At 40.8% G+C, this 19,357-nt stretch overlaps 1 protein-coding gene across 8 annotated transcripts in view; it reads left to right on the top strand.

The window, feature by feature from the left end:
* ELOVL7 (ELOVL fatty acid elongase 7) overlaps positions 1 to 19,357 on the top strand; it is a 92,479-nt gene that overhangs the window by 36,801 nt on the left and 36,321 nt on the right. For 3 of the 8 annotated variants that reach the window (NM_001297618.2, NM_024930.3, NM_001297617.2), the window contains exon 2: positions 8,239 to 8,289. The exons of 2 other annotated variants lie outside the window; for them this stretch is intronic. Coding sequence is in view for 1 of the 6 variants with exons in the window: in XM_017009888.1 (XP_016865377.1) it covers positions 4,804 to 4,842; positions 6,626 to 6,680 (94 nt within the window). In the remaining 5 variants the exon portion in view is untranslated. Of the gene's footprint in view, positions 1 to 4,803; positions 4,843 to 6,625; positions 6,883 to 8,238; positions 8,290 to 19,357 lie in introns of those variants that run through there. 3 more of the 8 variants (XM_006714695.5, XM_011543651.4, XM_017009888.1) reach the window with 2 other exon arrangements.

Below are 19,357 nucleotides of genomic sequence, written 5' to 3'. Positions count from 1 at the left end.
GCTTTGCTGTCTCTTTCCCTCAGTGTTTTTGAGCCAGTTTGTTTTTTCTCACTGAGCAATAGTTTGAGGGCTGATAATTTCAGTTTATAGTCATTTTTTCCTGTAGCCCAAGGACATGGAAAGTGAAAAAAAGAAGAATTCAGGAACCTGAGTTGTAGTGTTCAATATTCATAGCAAGATTCATTCCACCTCATAGGTTGCATCCCATTCCCTTTAAGGCATTTTTATCTGTTCACCAGTGTATGGAGTTTCCATAATCAGAATCAATCCTGTTGTACCATTCACCACCTGGAGAAAAAAAAAACAAAATTAGGATTGTTAGTCTGTTTGCTTCTCCTCCGATGTGAGGTTACTTGTGAGGCTTCTCAGGCTCTTTTGCATCCCCAGTGCAGCTGGGGGAAGAGGCCATGTTGGGTTAGGAACCCTGCCGTGTTGTAGATGCCACTCTGCTCCCGACCCTTTCCTGGGCCACAGCGTTTTGCAATTTAGAACATTTGTATGTAGCCCTTCCTTATTTGGTTGCCTCTGTGAAATTCTGTGGGCAGTTTTTCTTTTGACCATTTATTTTTCTTTTTTCTGTATTTGCAGCTGCTACCAATACCAAAGTAGAAGCTCCCTTCTGCAGCTCTCTGACTTGCTTCTTTATGTTTGTCCCTGGATTCTCTTTCTATTTCCCCAGCATGGGTGTTCCCTGAGGGGCTGCCTCCCTGTGAACATAAAGATGGCAGTTCACAAGCCAAGGAGAGAGACCGCAAACAGTTCCTTCAGCCCTCAGAAAGAACCAACCCTACCAACACTTGATTTTAGACTTCTAGCATCCAGAACTGTGAGACAATAAATTTCTGTTACTCTTTTTTTTTCATCATTTCTTTTTCTTTTTTTGCAGTATTTGAAGCTCCTACCAGGCAGCTTCCTTCTGCACCTTTCTGGCTGTTGCTTCTTTAAATTTGTCTCAGCTGCTCTTCCTGATTCCTAAACATGGGTGTCCCCTGAGTGCTGCCCTTTGCCATGTCTCCTTCTATATTATTTCTCACAGAGATTTAGTCTGCTCCCATGACAATGATTGCCTCTTTTTATAGGTAACCCTGGCTTTAATCCTGGGCTCCAATTCTGGATTTTTCTTCAAGTTGAGTGAACATCTTCACTTTGGTGTATTAGTTTGCTACAGCTGCTGTAATAAAGTGCCATAAACTAGGTAGTTTAAGCAACAGATATTTATTACCTCATGGTTCTGAAGATGAGAAATCTGAAATCCAAGTGTTGTTAGGGTTGGTTCTCTCTGAGGGCTTTGAGGAAAGGATCTGTTCAGGCCTCTCCCTTGGCTTATAGGTGGGTGCTCTTCCTGTGTGCATGTCTGTGTCTAAATTTCCCCTTTTTATAAAGACCCCAGTCATAGTGGATTAGGGACCACCTAATGACCTCATTATAATTTGATGACTTCTGGAAAGACTCTTTCTCCAAATAAGGTCACATCCTGAAGAACTGGAGGTTAGGACTTTAACATACAATGTTGGGAAGACACAGTTCAATCCATAACACTTGGATATTTACTCATATCACACATGTTTCCTGCTACATGCCAGGCGTTGGTCTAGGCCCTGGGAATATGGACATAATGAGGCTCAGTCTCTTTCCTCTTCATGAGTAGAAAAGATAAGAATAGATTTGCAATACTATATACAGGAAGTGATCCCATAGATGAGAGATTCTTTTGAGGATACCTTAGTGGCACACCTAGCCCTGACTGGCTGAATCAAGAATGACATTTCAGAGGAAGTGATGCTTATGCTGGATCCTTCCCAGTAGGATGCAATACTGGCTTATGCTGGATCCTTCCCAATAGATGCAATAGTGTGTAATTGCTCTCCCTGCTTTTAAACCACACCCTTAGTTACCCAGCCCTGGATTCCACCACCCAGACAATCTTTTCAAAGCACCACATTGATTAAGACATTTCTCAGTTGAGAAACCTGTAATGACTCCTCATGGTCAACAGAACTAACTCTAAAAAAATTATTTAGCCTGGCTGGCCTTTGGTTCCTCCAGAATCAGGTGCCACCACTGTAATCTACCTTTCCTGTCTTGATCTTCCTATTGTTTCCATCCTTAGCCCTGTATGTTACCAAGTTGTAGTAACAAACATTTTGGAGACACATCTGCAACTTTTCATAATCTCATGAAGCCAGGATTTTTGTTTTGTTTCCTACTGTATCATTGTCACCTAAAAAAGTGTTTGGCCTATAACATATACTTCAGAATATTGGTTGAATAAGCGAATGAATTTTCTCTACTTGCAGTGCAGGCCTCTCCTTTCTCTCAGCTGTGCACATTTTTGCCCTGTTGAAATTTTATTCCCAGGGCTCAGCTCATGTACACTTTCCTCCATTATGCCTTTCTTCTAGGTCACATGTGGATACAGATGTGACTCTTCATTCCTAAAGACTTTTGCAGTCTGTGTGAACTGTTTGCATGCCCCTGCATTCTGCTTCGCATTGTAGAAATCTGAGTAGGTGCCTTTTACCTGCCAGATTCAGTTGTTTGAATTTAGGAACCATATTTTAAAAATAATATTGTGTCTTGCTTAGCACTTTCTTGCACAATAATAGATGCCTAAAAGTTAATTTGTGTTTGAGGAGAAAATGAATGAGAGGAGTATTTTGTATTTGTTTCAAAAAAGTGGGGAAGAAGGCCTAAGAAATGGAGCATTTGGTCTGTCCCTCTTGCTTTCCCTTATTTTTCTGAGTTTACAACATCTTTAAATTCATTCAGCAGATATTTCTTAAGCACTTGTTCTATTCGAGACTAGGACTATTGAAGTCCTAGCACTTAAATTACAAACAAGAATTAAACTGCCTTTGGGGTACTTATCACTTCTTCTGATAGAGAGACTTCCCAGTTGGTCCCAGTGGTCACTATCATCTGTACAGTTTTTAAGATGCTTTTCTTAATACTCACATTTATTCATCCCAGAGTCTAGACTCTTTGCACATGTTGAGGCTGCCTGAGAGTAGGGCCCTTGTCTTTATCCTCCCATTCCGCACTGCCTAGCACTGAGCTTATACGTGATGGCAACTTCAGTGGGTCCTTTATTTCCCCTAAAGATTCTCTGACTCTTTTCTAAGTTTGCCCTGTCTCTCCAATTATAGAATGATGAGTTAGGACCAGAGACTCCAGAAGGATACTGATTGCTCTGCTTAGATTCAGAGGCCCTCTATTATCAATAAGAGTAAAAATAAGCGCAATTAAGTAGCACAATGTTTAGCACTCGTGCTAAGGTTTTTACGTGAATTGTATTTTCTACTGGGGCCTGTTGCTATATCATTGGCTTCTAGGACTCCTTCATTTCTTACAAGTTGTCACGTTAACATGTTGAGGTTGGTGAGTGAACATCTAGTTTGTTTGCCTCTGCTCAAACTCAAGAGTCATGATTATACTGAAGAGCTTGTGCCAAACAGAAATGGAATCTGAATTACTTTGGTGGGTCATGCACATATATTATCTTTTCTAGAGGCATTTAAGTCTTAATCCCTTTATGAAGGGAAAATGAGGAAGTGAAAATTGAGATGAAATAATGGAGTAGTAGGGAGTGGAAAGGATGGTAAAAATACTTGTTTTGAGGTTCTGTTTGACGTGGAAATGACTACTCTTAAACTTGATTGAAAGACAGACCTGAGTTAATTCATATAGAAAATGTGGTAATATGTTCTATTATGTCATTGTTATTGGGGGATGGGAAACATCTATTTTATTTAAATATGTTGTATACCCATCAGAACAACATGAGTTCATGGAAGTGATATAACAACAATTACAAGTAGTAGCCCAACCCTATGCTGTCTGTGTTTAGGTTTATAGTGTGTTATGGGTATCAGAGAGACAATGGCACAAGATACTTCTAAATAGCAGGTATGTAATTCACTAACAAGTCTTATATGGTGTTGCAAAGTATGTTTATCAGGCATACTTAACATATTCACTTATTAATCATGCTTTGTTTAAACGAAAATCAAGATTAGTTTATCCTGAGCACCTATCAGCAGGAAAGGTAGAGATCACTTGGATAGGCTCAGGCTGTCAGCTTCAGTTTATACTTGAAATGACACTGCAGAGTAATCTCTGTGTCATGGCTACAGCCAACATTGTCTCTCAACCTTCCTTCTTCCATGTGAGCTACCCACTCTTCTTCCTTATTCTGGGATTCTCCTTTCTCCCTGAGGTCATGTGCTTCCCCTTGTGACTTGTGGGATGGGATGGAATGGTAAATATAATGTAGATTAACCAAGGAATCACTGCAGTCCCAGTGTTGTTGTTGTTGCTGTTTTCAGTGCGTGGTTTAAATGTTGGCATGTGATGCAATTCTGGGAAGGGACATTTAAGGGCCTCTGGAGGAGGATTGAGAAGGATTTTGAAGCTCCCAAAAAGAGACACAAAGAAGTTCCCTTTCACTGCTCTAAATAAAGGTGTATGAGAATGTGCTATTTGGAAGGGTTGCTACTGTCTTTTTCCGTAAAAATGACAAAAGAGAATTTTGCCAACTCAGGAGAACTGCCATATCTTTGGACTTCTTATACTATGAGAAAACACATCCCCTTACTGGTTAAGCCATTATGAGTTTTCTGTTACTTGCAAATGAAAGCATCTTCCCTGATTCTGTAACATTGCCATTTGAAAAATAGAAAGTTAGGTGTTTAGTATCTTTGACATTTCTTCATCAATTTTGTTTGCCTAAATGACAAGGCTTATGGTCTAATTTTCTGTAATTTACTAAGATATAAGATATAGTAGTGATTTTCTCTTTCACAGATACTTAGGAACTTCAAGCAGTCGTCCCAGATATAAAAGGTTAGTTTACATCCTGGATATATGTGCTGATTCAAAGATCTGTCCCCATATTTCACATCTCTTGTGAGTTCTTTTGAAATCCTAGATTAATCTTTTCCAGCATTGATTGCACCTCCTATTCCTGCCCTTCTTGACCCAGATGCCTTATCGTTCCTGAGTGACCTTCTTTAACTGAATCCTTTGTCATGTATTTTATGCCTGTTGCTCATGTTGTCATGGGTGTCGTCATGTCTGAGAATGATTTATGAAGCATTAAGAAAAGATTCTCAAACCTGGCCCATCAGAATTTTCCCAAACATTAACTGAATCCAAATCTCTCCCTGGGTGATTCTGATTTTCAACCAGGTTTAAGAACCACTGACATAAGGGATATAAAAGAAAAATTGTACTGACCCAATCCCATACCTAAAGTAAATGGTTTCAAATCTCACTTGACAAACTCACAAGTCTGTATTAGAGTCCTCCAGAGGGACAGAACCAATAGGATATATGTGTGTGTGTGTGTGTGTATATATATATATATATATATATATATATATATATATATATATATATATATATATATGAGAGTTTATTAGGGAGAATTGGCTCACAGGGCAAAGTCTCAACAATAGGCCATCTGCAAGCTGGAGAAAGAGAGAGAAGCTAGTAGTGTCACTCAGTCCAAGTTCAAAAGCCTCAAAACTAGGGAAGCCAACAGTGCAGCCCTCAGTCTGAGGCCAAAGGCCTGAGAGCCCCTGAGAGGCCACTGGTGCAAGTTCCCAGAGTCCAAAGGCCAAAGAGCCTGGAATCTGACATTCAAGGGCAGGAGGAGATGGAGTAAGCGTCCTGCAAGGGAAGAAAGACTGAACAGACTCAGCAAGCTGCTTATCCTTCCTTCTGCTCGCTTTGTTCTAGTTTCTTCATTTTTTTTTCTTTTTTTTTGAGACAGGATCTTGTTCTGTCACCCAGGCTGGAGTGCAGTGACACGATCATGACTCACTGCAGCCTTGACCTCCCGGGCTCAAGCCATCGTCCTGCCTTAGCCTCCTGTATAGCTGAATCCACAGGTGTGCGCCACCATGCCTGGCTAATTTTTTAATTTTTTTGTAGAGATGGAGGCTCACTTTGTTGCCCATGCTGGTCTTCAACTCCTGGGCTCAAGTGATCCCCTTGCCTTGGCCTCCCAAAGTGCTGGGATTACGGATGTGAGCCACCACACCTGGTACTCTTTAGGGTTTTCTAGTTGTAAGACCCTATTGGCTGCAAGGAGACACATTAACTTCTTCCTTTCTGATTTGGATGCCTTTTTATTTCTTTTTTGCATAATTGCTGTGGCTAGATCCTCCAGTCAGCCCTTCACATCTGTGGGGGATTGGTTACAGGACCCTGTACCAAAATCCGAGATTCCTCTAGTCCAGGCCAGGCATAGTGGCTCATGCCTATAATCTGAGCACTTCGGGAGGACAAGGTGGGAGGATCACCTGAGCTCAGGAGTTTGAGACCAGCCCGGGCAACATAGTAAGACACCCATCTCTACAAAAAATAAAAAATTAGCCAGGCATTGTGGCATATGCCTGTAGTCCCAGCTACTCGGGAGGCTATAGTGGGAGAATTTCCTTAGCCCAGGAGATCAAGGCTGCAGTGAGTCATGACCATGCCACTGCACTCTAGCCTTGGTGACAAAATGAGACCCTGTCTCCAAATAAATACATAAATCGGTAAAACATTTTTAAAAATTAGAATGCTTAATGGTGTAATACAGTTGACCTTCCATAACTGAGGATTCCACATCCACCAACAGTGGATTGAAAATATGTACAATTGGCCCTCTGATTCCATGGATGCAGAACCCATGAATATGGAGGGAAGACTACTATGTTGAATAGAAGTGGTGAGGGCACAACAAAGAGGTCATTCAAACACGCAGTGAGATGGTTGCTACCTGCAAGCCAAGAGAAGAGACTTCAGAATGAGACCTTATCTTGCTGGCACCTTGATCGTGAACTTCCAGCCTCTAGAACTGTGAGAAATAAATTTCTATTTTTTAAAACAAACAACAAAAAAAGTGGTGAGAGTGGGCATCCTTGTCTTGATCTTAGAGGAAAAGCTTTCAACTCTTTACTGCTGAGTATTATGTTAGCTTTTTATATATGGCCTTCATTGTTTTGAGGTTTCTTCTAAACTGAATTCATTGAGTTTTTATTATAAAAGGATGCTGAATTTTGTCAAATGCTCTTTTTGCATCGATTGGAATGATTATGTGGTTTTGGTCTTCCATTTTATTAATGTGGTATATCACATTTATTGATTTGCATTTGTTGAACCATCCTTGTATCCTAGGGATAAATCCCACTTGATCATAGTGAATGATCCTTTTTATGTGCTACTGAATTTGATTTGCTTGTATTATCTTGAGGATTTTTGCCAGTATGTTCATCAAGGGTATTGACCTGAAGTTTTCTTTTTTTGTAGTGTCCTTGTCTGGTTTTGGTATCTGAGTAATGCTGACCTTATGAAATGAGTTCAGGAAGTATTCCCTCCTCTTCATTTTTTTTTCGAAGAGTTTGAGAAGAATCACTATTAGTTATACTTTTTTTTTTTTTTTTTTTTTTTTGAGATGGAGTTTTGAGCCCAGGCTGGTGTGCAATAGCGTGATCTCAGCTCACTGCAACCTCCGCCTCCCAGGTTCAAGTGATTCTCCTGCCTCAGCCTCCCGAGTAGCTGGGATTACAGGCATGCGCCACCATGCCCGGCTAATTTTGTATTTTTAGTAGAGACGGGGTTTCTCCATGTTGGTCAGGCTAGTCTCGAACTCCTGACCTCAGGTGATCCGCCCGCCTCAGCCTCCCAAAGTGCTGGGATTACAGGCATGAGCCACCACACCCGGTCTATTAGTTATTTTTTAAATGTTTGGTAGAATTTAACAGTGAAGTTATCAGGTCCTGGACTTTTATTTTATGGGAGGTTTTTGATTACTGACTTGATCTCCTTACCCTTGTTGGTCTGTTTAGATTTTCTCCCGCTTCATGATTTAATCCTGGAAGGTTATATGTTCTAGGAGTGTATCCATTTATTCTGGGATATGTCGGTGTATCATTTTTCACAGTAGTTCTTATGATCCTTTGCATTTCTGTGGTCTCAGTTGCAATGTCTCTTCTTTCATTTCCAATTTTATTTATGAATACTCTTTTTTTTCCTTCGTGCAGCTAAAGGTTTGTCAGTTTTGTTGAACTTTTTAGATAACCAGCTCTTAGTTTTGGTGATCTTTTTATTGTTTTTCTAGTCTTTATTTCCTTTATTTCTACTCTAATCTATATTGTTTTCTTGCTTCTGCTGACTTTGTTTTTCTTTTTCTAGTTTCTTGAAGTGTAATGTTAATTATTTATTTGAAGTTTTTTTTCTTTTCTATTATAGGCATTTAAACTTCCCTCTTAGAACTGCTTTTGTGGCATCCCATAAGTTTTGGTAAGTTGTATTTTCATTTTCATTTGTCTCAATATTTTTAAATTTCCCTTTTGATTTCTTTTTTGACCATGAGTTGTTCAGGTGCATGTTGCTTACTTTCCATGTATTTGTGAATTTTCCAGTTTTCTTCCTGTTATTGATTTGTAGTTTCACACCATTGTGACAAGAAAAGATGCTTGATATGATTTTAGTCATCTTAAATTTGGTAAAACTTGTTTTGTGGCTCAATATATCATCTGTCATGGAGAATGTTCTGTGTACACTTAAGAAGAATGTGTATTTTGCTGTTGTTGGATAGAACGTTCAGCACATGTCTGTTAAGTTCATTTAGTCTAACGCGTACTTCAAGTTCAATGTTTCCTTATTTATTTTATGTCTTCATGATTTATGCAATGTTGAAAGTAGGACATTAAAGTCCCCTACTATTATTGTATTGTAGTCTCTCTCTCTTTTCAGATCTATTAATCTTTGCATTATTTTTGGTGCTACTATGTTGGGTACATATGTATTTATAATTGTTATATTCTCTTGATGAATTGACCCCTTTATCACCATATAATGATCTTATCTCTTGTGACAGTTTTTGACTTAAAGTCTATTTGGCCTGATATAAGAAAATAATTTTTTTTACAGCTTTATTTTTATTTCAAACTTTTATTCCTTGAGGTGGTAGAAAACTATTTTAGTCCACTTTAATCTCTAAGCACCTCCCCTCCACCCTCAGCAAGTTAAAAAAGCTTCTGTAGTATCAAGGTAATTGGGAGGAGGAGCCCTTTAATCCTCCATGTTCTCTGTCTACATTGCCATCCTTTGAGATATCCAGGGTCCCATCACGTCTTTGACCACTTGTGCTTGCAGATCTGAAGAGATGTATGTTGTTTCTACTTTTATGACTTCTTCATTTTCTATGGCTCTTCTGCAATACTTCCGTAAACCCAGAAAATCTGAAAGGTTTCTCAGTTAATTTTGAAACTTTATTTGCCAAAGTTGAGGACACGTATCTGTGACACAGCCTCAGGAGGTCCTGACAACATGTGCCCAAGGTGGTCGGGGCACAGCTTAGTTTTATACATTTTAGGGAGACATGAGACATCAATCAATGTATGTAAGAAGTACATTGGTTTGGTGTGGAAACGCGGGACAACTCAAAGCAAAGGCAGGAAGACTCGAAGCAGGGAGGGGGCTTCCAGGTCACAGGTAGGTGAGAGACAAAGGGTTGCTTGCATTCTTTTGAGTTTCCGATTAACCTTTTCAAAAGAGGCAATCAGGTATGCATTTATCTCAGTGAGCAGAGGATAACTTTGAAAAGAATTGGGGGCAGGTTTGCCCTAAGCAGTTCCCAGCTGCTTTTTCCCTTTAGTGACTTTGGGGGCCCAAGATATTTTCCTTTCCCATTTCCATGCCTATTGGGGGTGCTCAGATGTCCTTGTACTGCACTTGCACCAGACTGGAGCAAAAGAAACTTTCACTGGCTGCCTAAAGTCCCATTGGCCACTTGTCCCAACTCTGCCCAGGCAATAGTGCCTGACCTCTCCTGCTCTTGCCTCCTGTTATCCTACCTGGCACTTCCTCAGGGCTTATTACCTTTCTCTCTGGGATCTGTACTAACTCCTTTCCTCGGACTCTCCTTCCCTCAAGCCTGAAGGATGCTTTTCTGTGCCAGGAGGCATGGGCACCTCTTGTCTCTGCCCTGTGTTCTGTATGGCTAAGTGCCTAAGCTTTTGTAACCCAAAAGCTAAGACAAAACTTTCTTTGCTTTCTGCTGTTCTCTTTTACTTCCAAGGCAGTGTGAACAACCTATTCAATGGAGAGAAATGGCAAAAAGAGAATGGAGGGTGATACATAAAATACCAAGGAGAAATGTGGGTTAGTATACATGAGCCATCAAAACAAAACACAAAATCCTGTGTAATAGGTGGAATGGACATGTATTTTTGCTTCTGTAATGTGTGTGTGTATAGTATGTATATATTGCCGCATACACACATGCGTATGTGTTATAATTAGCAAATTTGAAAATTTGTCATTTGAAATAATTTTTTACTGAGGCTGTTCCACATTCTAGGTTTGCTTCCTTTTAATTGGAGTTATAATAAGTGACAATTCCAGCAGATAAACTATTCTGCTGGAATATATACATCTAAATGAGTGTTTCCTCAAAAATATTCACTTCAGACTACTATATATCTTTTCCACTAATATTGCCATAGCCCCAAACATTTCCCAAGTTGTTTTTGGAATTGTTCTTGTTTTATAAACCATAAGCTGAAAATGTCCGTAGTAAATTACTTTTTCATTAAACCCAGCTCTATTCCCCACCCTTTCCCACTTCATTGATTAAAATACAGCTCCACTTGATCCATTTGCCTCTAAACCAACCTTAACTTTTGATTAGTTATGAACTTGTTGTGTAGAAGCAGTAGGCAAAGATTTTTCCTCCTTTAAAACCATTTAAATGAAATTCTGAAAAACTCAAGTTGATTTTTAAAGAAAAGCTCAAAAATTGTTTTGATGACTGTATCACTCACACAAATGTGTAATTGCCAAAGTGATTACGCTGAAGCAAACTTTTATTTGAATGAATACATGTTGGTAGCTTCCTTTAGAACAATAGTTCTCAACTTGGGAGGATTTTGCCCCACAGGGGACGTTTGGCAATTTCTGGAAATGTTTTTGATCATCTCAACTGGGGACGACTTGTTCCTGGCACTCGTGGATGGAAGCCAAGTTGTGGTTCTAAACATCCTACAATAATCAGGACACTTCCCCACAACTAAGAATTGTCTGCCCCCAAATATCAATACTGTCGAGGTTGAGAAATCCTGCTTTAAACAAATAATTACTTTATAGTCATCCCCCATGTTTTAATATACTTCAGAGCTGCTGGTCACTTTCCTCCAGCCTCACAGCCTCTTTGAGATTTTGTTTCTGCTAAAGTATAAAGGATGGGGACGAGAGTGGGGAACCAGTTCCAGTGAGAAAACAGATGAGGAAGGAAATACTAGGAAATGTGTGGATTAATATCTAGGTGGAAGTTTCCCTAGCAACCTTTGAATTCTTACTAAGAAGTTTATTACTTATCTCAGGGATTTTTCCTGCCAAAGATGGTAGGAGCAGAGACTTGGGGCCTCTGATTTTCTAGGGTCATAACCCAGAGAGAGACTGTCTATACAATACTGTTACCGTGCATGGATCTTTGTTCTTAGAGCTCCCAAGATGGTGGCGGGCTGCTCCCAAGATGGCGGCAAGCCTTTTGTTCTCTGACCTGGGGTTCTTGGCCTCACAGATTCCAAGGAATGGAACCTTGGGCCATGCGGTGAGTGTTACAGCTCTTTTAGAAGCCGTGGGTCACGGAAGAGAACCGTGGAACCTAGCGACTAGTGTTCAGCCTGGTTAGGATGAACCTGGGCACTTAGCCATGCAGGAACAATGACGAGCCTCTAGCCCGATTGGGAGTGGCAATGGGCGCCTCACTGGATCAGAAGCACAGTGGACACCCTGCCGGATCCGGAGGGTTGGAAGTCAGTGGCGAGTCTCCGACATCGGCATTCAGCCCTGGTGGATGGTGAGCGAAAGTTCAGCTTGAGCCAGAACAAACACGGACCAGAAGAGTGTGCAGTTGCAAGATTTAATAGAGTGAAAACAGAGCTCCCATACAATGGGAGGGTACCCAAAGAGGTTGCCGCTCCCTGCTGGAATGCCTGGGGTTTATATCCCAATCATTGTCCCTCCCCCGTGCTCTCAGGTGATATATATGATTTGACTATTTCTTTATCTCCTGCTTTTAGTGTTAATTTGTATTTTAGTGAGCCCTGTTTACTACCTGATTCGTTGGGTGTGAGCTGAGTTACAAGCCCCGTGTTTAAAGGCCGGTGCAGTCACCTTCCCCAGCTAGGCTTAGGAATTCTTAGTCGGCCTAGGAAGTCCAGCTAGTCCTGTCTCTCAGTACCTTCCTCTCGGGGAGGCTTTCACCACCCTCTGGGCTGTGATCCCACTGCCCCATTCTGACTCACATCTGGACTTCCCTGTCCCTATCTAATCAGTCACAGTTAGCTGCCTTTGCCTTTTTATTCTCCACACTGCTTTTGCTCAACAGCTTCTGCATTTGAAGGCATGTTCTGATCCGTTCTTTATTAAGGATTTATTATTTCTGCGGAATAGCTTGATTTGCCCTGTACCCTTCTCCTCCCTTACTCTGTACAAGGGTAAAGTTTCAAACACCCCATCCCCCATATGAGGCCAGACAAATCTTCCCATAGGAAGGTTAGCATTTGGTTTTTACCCTGCAGTCCCCAGTTCCACCACAGAGCTCCATCCCTATGTTGGTACCTTCCTGCAGTTCATTTCAGTGTGTGGTCCCTTGAGCAGCATCTGTGGCTAGCCAGTTCTGTTCTTCCAGGTTTGTCCCTGATATCTGATTCCTAAAGCAGAGATCAGTGGGGAGGCCAGAACCTCCCAAACATCAAAAGAGAAAGAGAAAACCATATAGCTGTGTTCCTGGATTAAAGGTATGCCCTAGAAAGCCATGTGCTGGTTCTACCACTCCTTTCCCTCAGGTACAGTGTCTCCAATGTCTGTTGCAGAATTAGAATAAATCTCTACATTTGAAAGTCTACCTGGAAATGGTTGGCCATGATTTCTGGGCTCTTGTCTGGTGCTTCCCACTGCAAGCACATCTGAGGTCCCATCCTCATCTGAGTGAATTCCAACCAGATGCTCTCCCAGAGTTCTGCCTTCTGATCACTGTTGAGATAGACTTGGGCAAAAAGGACAAAGTGACCAGGTGCCCAGGCACACTGTGTATGTTCTGGTATTAGGTCTACATCATGCTAACGTAGGCAGCTTGTGGCTCTGAATAGTCTCCAGGTAGGTTGCCCTATGGGAAGGGATTTCTGCTCTACGAAGAAGGCGCATTTCTCATGTTTGAACCTGACATCTTTAATTTGGGTCTAAAGAGGCAAATTAAGTCACTTCGTTACCAAATGACCGAGTTGTCATGTGATACTATCAAAATCAAGGAGCAGTATTCATGGGGCAGTTGCAGACGTGGGGCAATGAAACACCAGCACCAGTACTCATGAGTGAGCTCCTGTTTACTCTACTCCTGCCATACATTTTTCAGGCCTTTGGAGGCAGGCTGAGCTCTGACTGTGAGCCTTAGCTATTCCTCTGAAGTATCTCTCTTGTTTCTTCCACCCTTAATGGAGGGGTGGTGATTTTTCTACTGCCTTATAATCTAAGGTAGCTCCAAATTCTGGGCCACTGCTTTCTTGTGATTACCTTCTTCTCAACCTCTCAATGTCTTCATTGCTGAGCTCTGATCTCTAACAACTGCTAAAAATATAGTCAGGTAGTGTTATGGTACAATACTTCTTTTTTTAGTGTACTTTCTTCTTTTTCACCATCATGGGCCCCAGGACTTGGATATTGTATGCAGCTGGCACCTCTTTATTGTAGTCTTACAAGTAGATCATTTCAGACAAGTCCTCTGAGAGTCCTCCCAGAAAAATGACAAGGATCTCTTGCTTCTGTCCTCTGCTGCTCACTTTGTAGGAGGTCCACATCCCCTTAGCAGCAGGATAAGACATTACCCTTGCTTAGAGTTTTAAGTCTCTGCTTCATTTCTTGGGTATCAGGAGTCTGTCAGATTAAAGTTCTTGAACTTTAATGTTTCCAGGGCTCTGTGTATGCTACCCCCAAACCCAAATCTAGTTCCTCTACTTGATTTTACTTTAAGCAGCAACATGTCATCCTGATATTTGGTGCCTGCTAGCTTAGGGCAGTGTTGAGCTAGCGCTTTGAAGATGCTGCAGTTCAGTCTCATGAGCCCATTTTTCTCCCCATGGCTTCCAGGTCTGGGCAAAAAAAACTGTAGCAGTATTATCCTATTTATGAATTACCACTCTTCCTTTGAGAAATTGCATGTTCATGTTACCCAAATATGAGATGAGTTTCTGAACCTCTGTGGCATAACACCAACCTCTTTAACTACTGCATTGAGAGGTACAGTGGGTGCTTGTCCAAAAACAATCTGAACACCAAAGCTTCCTGTGACCCATCTTGAAGGGCCTCCCACTCCTCAAACTCTTGATAGTATCTCTTCAGTCTTCTCATAATAGCTCAAGCAGTTAACCAACTCCCTGCTCCAGCTCTCTGCTCCATGAAAAGTTTGTGTGGACCATGTTGAGACTATGGGGCACCTCCACTAAACTTAGGCCAGCCATGGTCAGACCTCGGATGAGGCAGGGATGCATCAAGGGGATAGGTTTGTAGATCATTTTTAGTCTTCTCTATCCAGTTCTCTTGTGCTCAATAGTCTGGTGAGCTTCATTCATACAAGAGCCTTGATTTTTAAGCCATCACCAGGTCTGAACTTCTTTGCCATCAGATATTCTAAATTGTCTTTTCGGGTCCTGGTTCTGCTGTTAACTAAAGGATATCTCTACCACCTATACACCTATACCACATGGAGTAAATTGCTCCCTCCAATTTTTTTTAGAGATGGGGTCTTGCTGTGTTGCCCAGGCTCAAGCAGTTCTCCCACCTCAGCCTCTCGTGTAGCTGGAACTACAGGCACATGCCACCATGCCAGGCTTGCCTCCTATCTTTATGTGCCCATTGTCTAGCAATCAAGTGCCCATGATGAGTCATGGTAAAAGAAGGCAAAGATATGTCTGGGTCTAGTCTAGGGGTATCATTATACTTGCAATATAATTCAGTTGTTAACAGTTTTCTAAACCAGTCAGTCCCTACAATGTAACATTGGCATCCAGTCCATCACTCTCAGCTCATAAGGAAATTCTCAGTAGTTTGTGTTCAGTTCCAACAAGGTAAGGGGGATCAGGTTTTTCTGTTGTGTCCCATCCCTGTGCAATTGTGGATGTTCCTTCTCTTCTGGTGGGCCCACAAATAGTAAAGACTATGGACAGGACAACAGATTATCTACAAGCAGTGGATTAGTGAGAGAGGAGTCCACACTCCAAAAAGCTATGGTTACTGGATCTTTTTCATAACTCTGTAGTCCTTCATCTCCTGCTGGCTTTGATGACATCTACTCCTGCCTCATCTAGTTTGGGTTCTTCCTCTGCCTTTCCTCCTTCCTTCGTCTCAGTCTTGTATAGTTTTTGGGATTGGAGAAACCAGCTTTCTTGGCTGCCTGTGAATATTTCTGACCTGCATTAGAGTGTGGTTTCTTTGAGTCTTTGTGCTTCGGTGAGGACTGGGGAGGGGAAAATGGCCTATGTGGAGGCAGTGAAAGAAGAAGAGGAAAAAAATCGCACAGATACAGAATAATACTTTGAATTCTAACCCTGCCACATGGCTTGTAAAACTAGAATATTTCACTCTGATTCTGAATAACTTAACGAGCCTTATTTCAGTAGTTTAATTTTGAGAATAATGGGTCAAGGGCTGGTATATCAGTGGTTAAGGTGAGGGGGAAATGTAGCTTTTTGTGTGGTCTCAAACACTCATACTAAGACAATTGGAAGACATAAAGGGAAGAATCATACAATCTGTTATATGCTAGCTCTTAAAGTAAAAGTAGTAGAGTTTTTTCTAGATTTGTTCCATAAACTGCCATTTAACTGTACCAGGTAATGAGATGGCCAGATGTTTTCCTACTAAATTGGCACAACTTAAAAAAATATATTTTAGATTTAGGGGGTACACGTGCAGGTTTCTTACAAGGGTATAGTGTGTGATGCTGAGATTTGAGCTTCTATTACCCTTGTCACCCATATAGTGAACATAGTACCTATAGGAAGTTTTACAGACTGCATCCTCCTCTCTCCTTTCCTCTTCCTCCTCCCCCATTTTGAAGTCCCCAGTGTCTAATCTTTATGTCTGTATGTACCCATAAATTGGCACAATTTCTCTCTCTAAATGATAAATGGCTGATTTTGGCTGGGTGCGGTTTCTCACGCCTGTAATCCCAGCACTTTGGGAGGCTGAGGCAGGCGGACTGCTTGAGCCCAAGGAGTTTGAGACCAGCCTGAGCAACATAGTGAAATCCATCTCTACAAAAAATAAAACAATTAGCTAGGCATGGTGGCATGCTTTGGTAGTCCCAGCTACTTGGGAGGCTGAGACAGGAGGATCACTTGAGCCTGGGCAGTTGAGGCTGCAGTGAGTCAAGCTCTCTAAGTGCACTCCAGCCTGGGTGACAGAGCCAGACCCTGTCTCAGAAAACAAAACCAAACCAAAAAAGCAGACAAAAACAACCACCCTAAAACTAAAACAAAAGGATAAGTTTGATTGAATGCTCATTTTAAAAAATCAGATTCTGTGCTACAAACCTTACAAATATATATTATTTAATATGGTTCTCAAAACAACTCTATGAGTTAGTTTCTTTTATCTTGGTGGGTAATTAATGGAATTCCCATTTTACAGATTAGGAAATTGAGCTGTAATTTTGCTGGAGTCACACAGCTATTAAATGGTGGGATTGAAAAACTAAGGTTGTTGTGAGCCGAGAGCCCCTGCTCACAACCCCACATTACACCTTTGCTATAGAGATGAGAGATGATTTTTTAGGAAAATAAAGAGTCCAGACAGACTCTGGCAAGACCCTGGCATCACCACAGCCAGTCTTGAGTCTGAACTCAGCTGAGAAGACTGGGTGTATCAATACAGAGGCCATGCTGACATGCCTTCCTGGACTTGGAGAAATCCTCTGGAGGGGATGAACTCTTAAAGAATTTAGACAAAATTTCTATTTTGGGTGTATCTGCATATGTGTATTTGTATATGGGTTTTTAAGTAGGAATGTTCCAGTAAAGGTACAGCTGATTTTATTCTTTATTTTTAGATAGGTAAAATATCTATATGAGCCACAAAACAACAGTATAAAATCTTTCTTCCATTCCTTCAGCCCAGTTTGTACCCCATTCCCTTTTTCGTGTCTACCTCTTAAGAGTTCCTTTTATACAACTATGAGTAAATGTAAAATTATATTCATAAGACTTTTCTCCTTTTATATACAAGGTCATCATTTTTAAATTTTGTACTTTCTTTGTTTTTTTCTTTTCTTTTCTTTTTGAGGTAGTGTCTCGCTCTTGTTGCCCAGGCTGGAGTGCAATGGCGCAATCTTGGCTCACTGCAACCTCTGCCTCCCAGGTTCAAGCGATTCCCCTGCCTCAGCCTCCTGAGTAGCTGGAATTACAGGCGCCTGCCACCATGCCCGGCTAATTTTTGTATTTTTATAGAAACAGGGTTTCACCGTGTTGGCCAGGCTAGTCTCGAACTCCTGACCTCAGATGATCTGCCCACCTCAGCCTCCCAAACTGCTGGGATTACAGACGTGAGCCACTGCGCCCAGCTCTTTGCTTTTTTCAAATAGTGATTTATCTTGGAAATATTTCCATATCAGTACATGGAGAGGTTCTTCATTCTTATTTACAATGTCATAATATTTCATGGTGTTAAATCTGTTATCACTTATTAACCAGCTCTCCATTAGTAGACATGTGGGTTGTTTCCAGTCTTTTGCTCTTACTGATGCAATGAATAAACTTGCATATATGCCCTTCTGAATATGTGTATGTATTTCTACAGGATAAGTTTCTAGAAGTAGAAATGCTGTGTTAAAAGTATGCATTTATAATTTTGACTGATAATGGCAAATTGTCCTCAATAAGAGTTACACTAATTTGTACTTCCACTAGTAATGCATGAAGAGAGAGAATTTCCCACACTCCTGCCAACACAGTTAATGGTTGTCTGGATTTTGGCCCATTTGATAAAAAAAATGTTTGAATTTTGGCCTATTCAATAGACAAAAAATATTGCAGATTATTTAAATATGATTAGTTAAGCAACTTTTCATATGTTTGAGTGCCACTTGTATTTCCTTTTCTGTGAACTTTGCCCATTTCCTATTGACTTAAGGTCTTTTATCAATTTTAGAAACTTGTCATATATTAGGGAGAGTAGCCGTTGTCTATGATATGAATTGAACATATTTTTTACTGTTTGACATTTATGATTAAATTTGTTAGCCTTCTCTTATGTCTTCTGAATTTTAGGTCTTAGTTAGTAAGGCCTTTCCCACTACAAGGTTATAAAAGTCTTCTACTATGTCATCTAGTGATTTCATGGTTCTGTTGTTCTTACTTAAATATTTGCTTTATTTGGAGTTTATCTTGGTTTATATTATAACACTTGGATTGAACCTTTTTTTCTCGGATGGCTGTCCAGGTGTGCCACACCATTTAGTGATTAATGTCTGGTAATTCAGTGCCCAATCATTGGAGATGCCACCTTTATCATATAGCATATGCCATATATAATTTTACCTATACTTACGTAAGTAAAATGGCTTTACTTTAGAATCCAGAGGAAAGTCTGAATTTTCTTGTGGGAACCCTAGAAGATTTTTTTTTTTAAGACCAAGTCTCACTCTGTTGCCCAGGCTGGACCAGGCTGGACCAGGCTGGAGTGCAGTGGCACAATCTGCTCACTGCAGCCTCTGCCTCCTGGGTTCGAGCAATTTTCCTGCCTCAGCCTCCCGAGTAGCTGGGATTACAGGCACCCGTCACCACGCCTAGCTGGTTTTTGTATTTTTAGTAGAGATGGGGTTTCACCATGTTGGTCAGGCTGGTCTCCAACTCCTGACCTCAGGTGATCTGCCTGTCTTGGTCTCCCAAAGTGCTGGGATTACAGGTGTGAGCCACTGCACCCGGCCAATTTTTAAAAATCATGGTAAAATATACCTATTATTTTCACCATTTTATATATATTTTCATTTAAATGGTTACCACTTTAACCATTTTAAAGTGTGAATTTCCGTGGCATTAAGTACATTTACATTGTTGTGCAGCCATCACCACCATCATCTCTAGAACTTTTACATGTTCCCACCACATGGCTTTGAATCAAATATACCAGTAATTTTATGGCATACCATTCATTTGGAAGGTGAGTCCTGATTTTACAGATGTTAAAATACGGTAAAATATACATCTTAGGTATATTTTAGTTACTAAAATATTTAGTTACTGAAATATAGTTCTCAATTTTCAAGTGTATTTAGTTTATTTCTGAACATTCTAATCTATTACGTTCG

This window comes from Homo sapiens, chromosome 5 (genome assembly GCF_000001405.40).
Source record: "Homo sapiens chromosome 5, GRCh38.p14 Primary Assembly".
In the NCBI taxonomy this organism is placed as follows: domain Eukaryota; kingdom Metazoa; phylum Chordata; class Mammalia; order Primates; family Hominidae; genus Homo; species Homo sapiens.
This window is presented reverse-complemented; position numbering and strand designations above follow the sequence as displayed.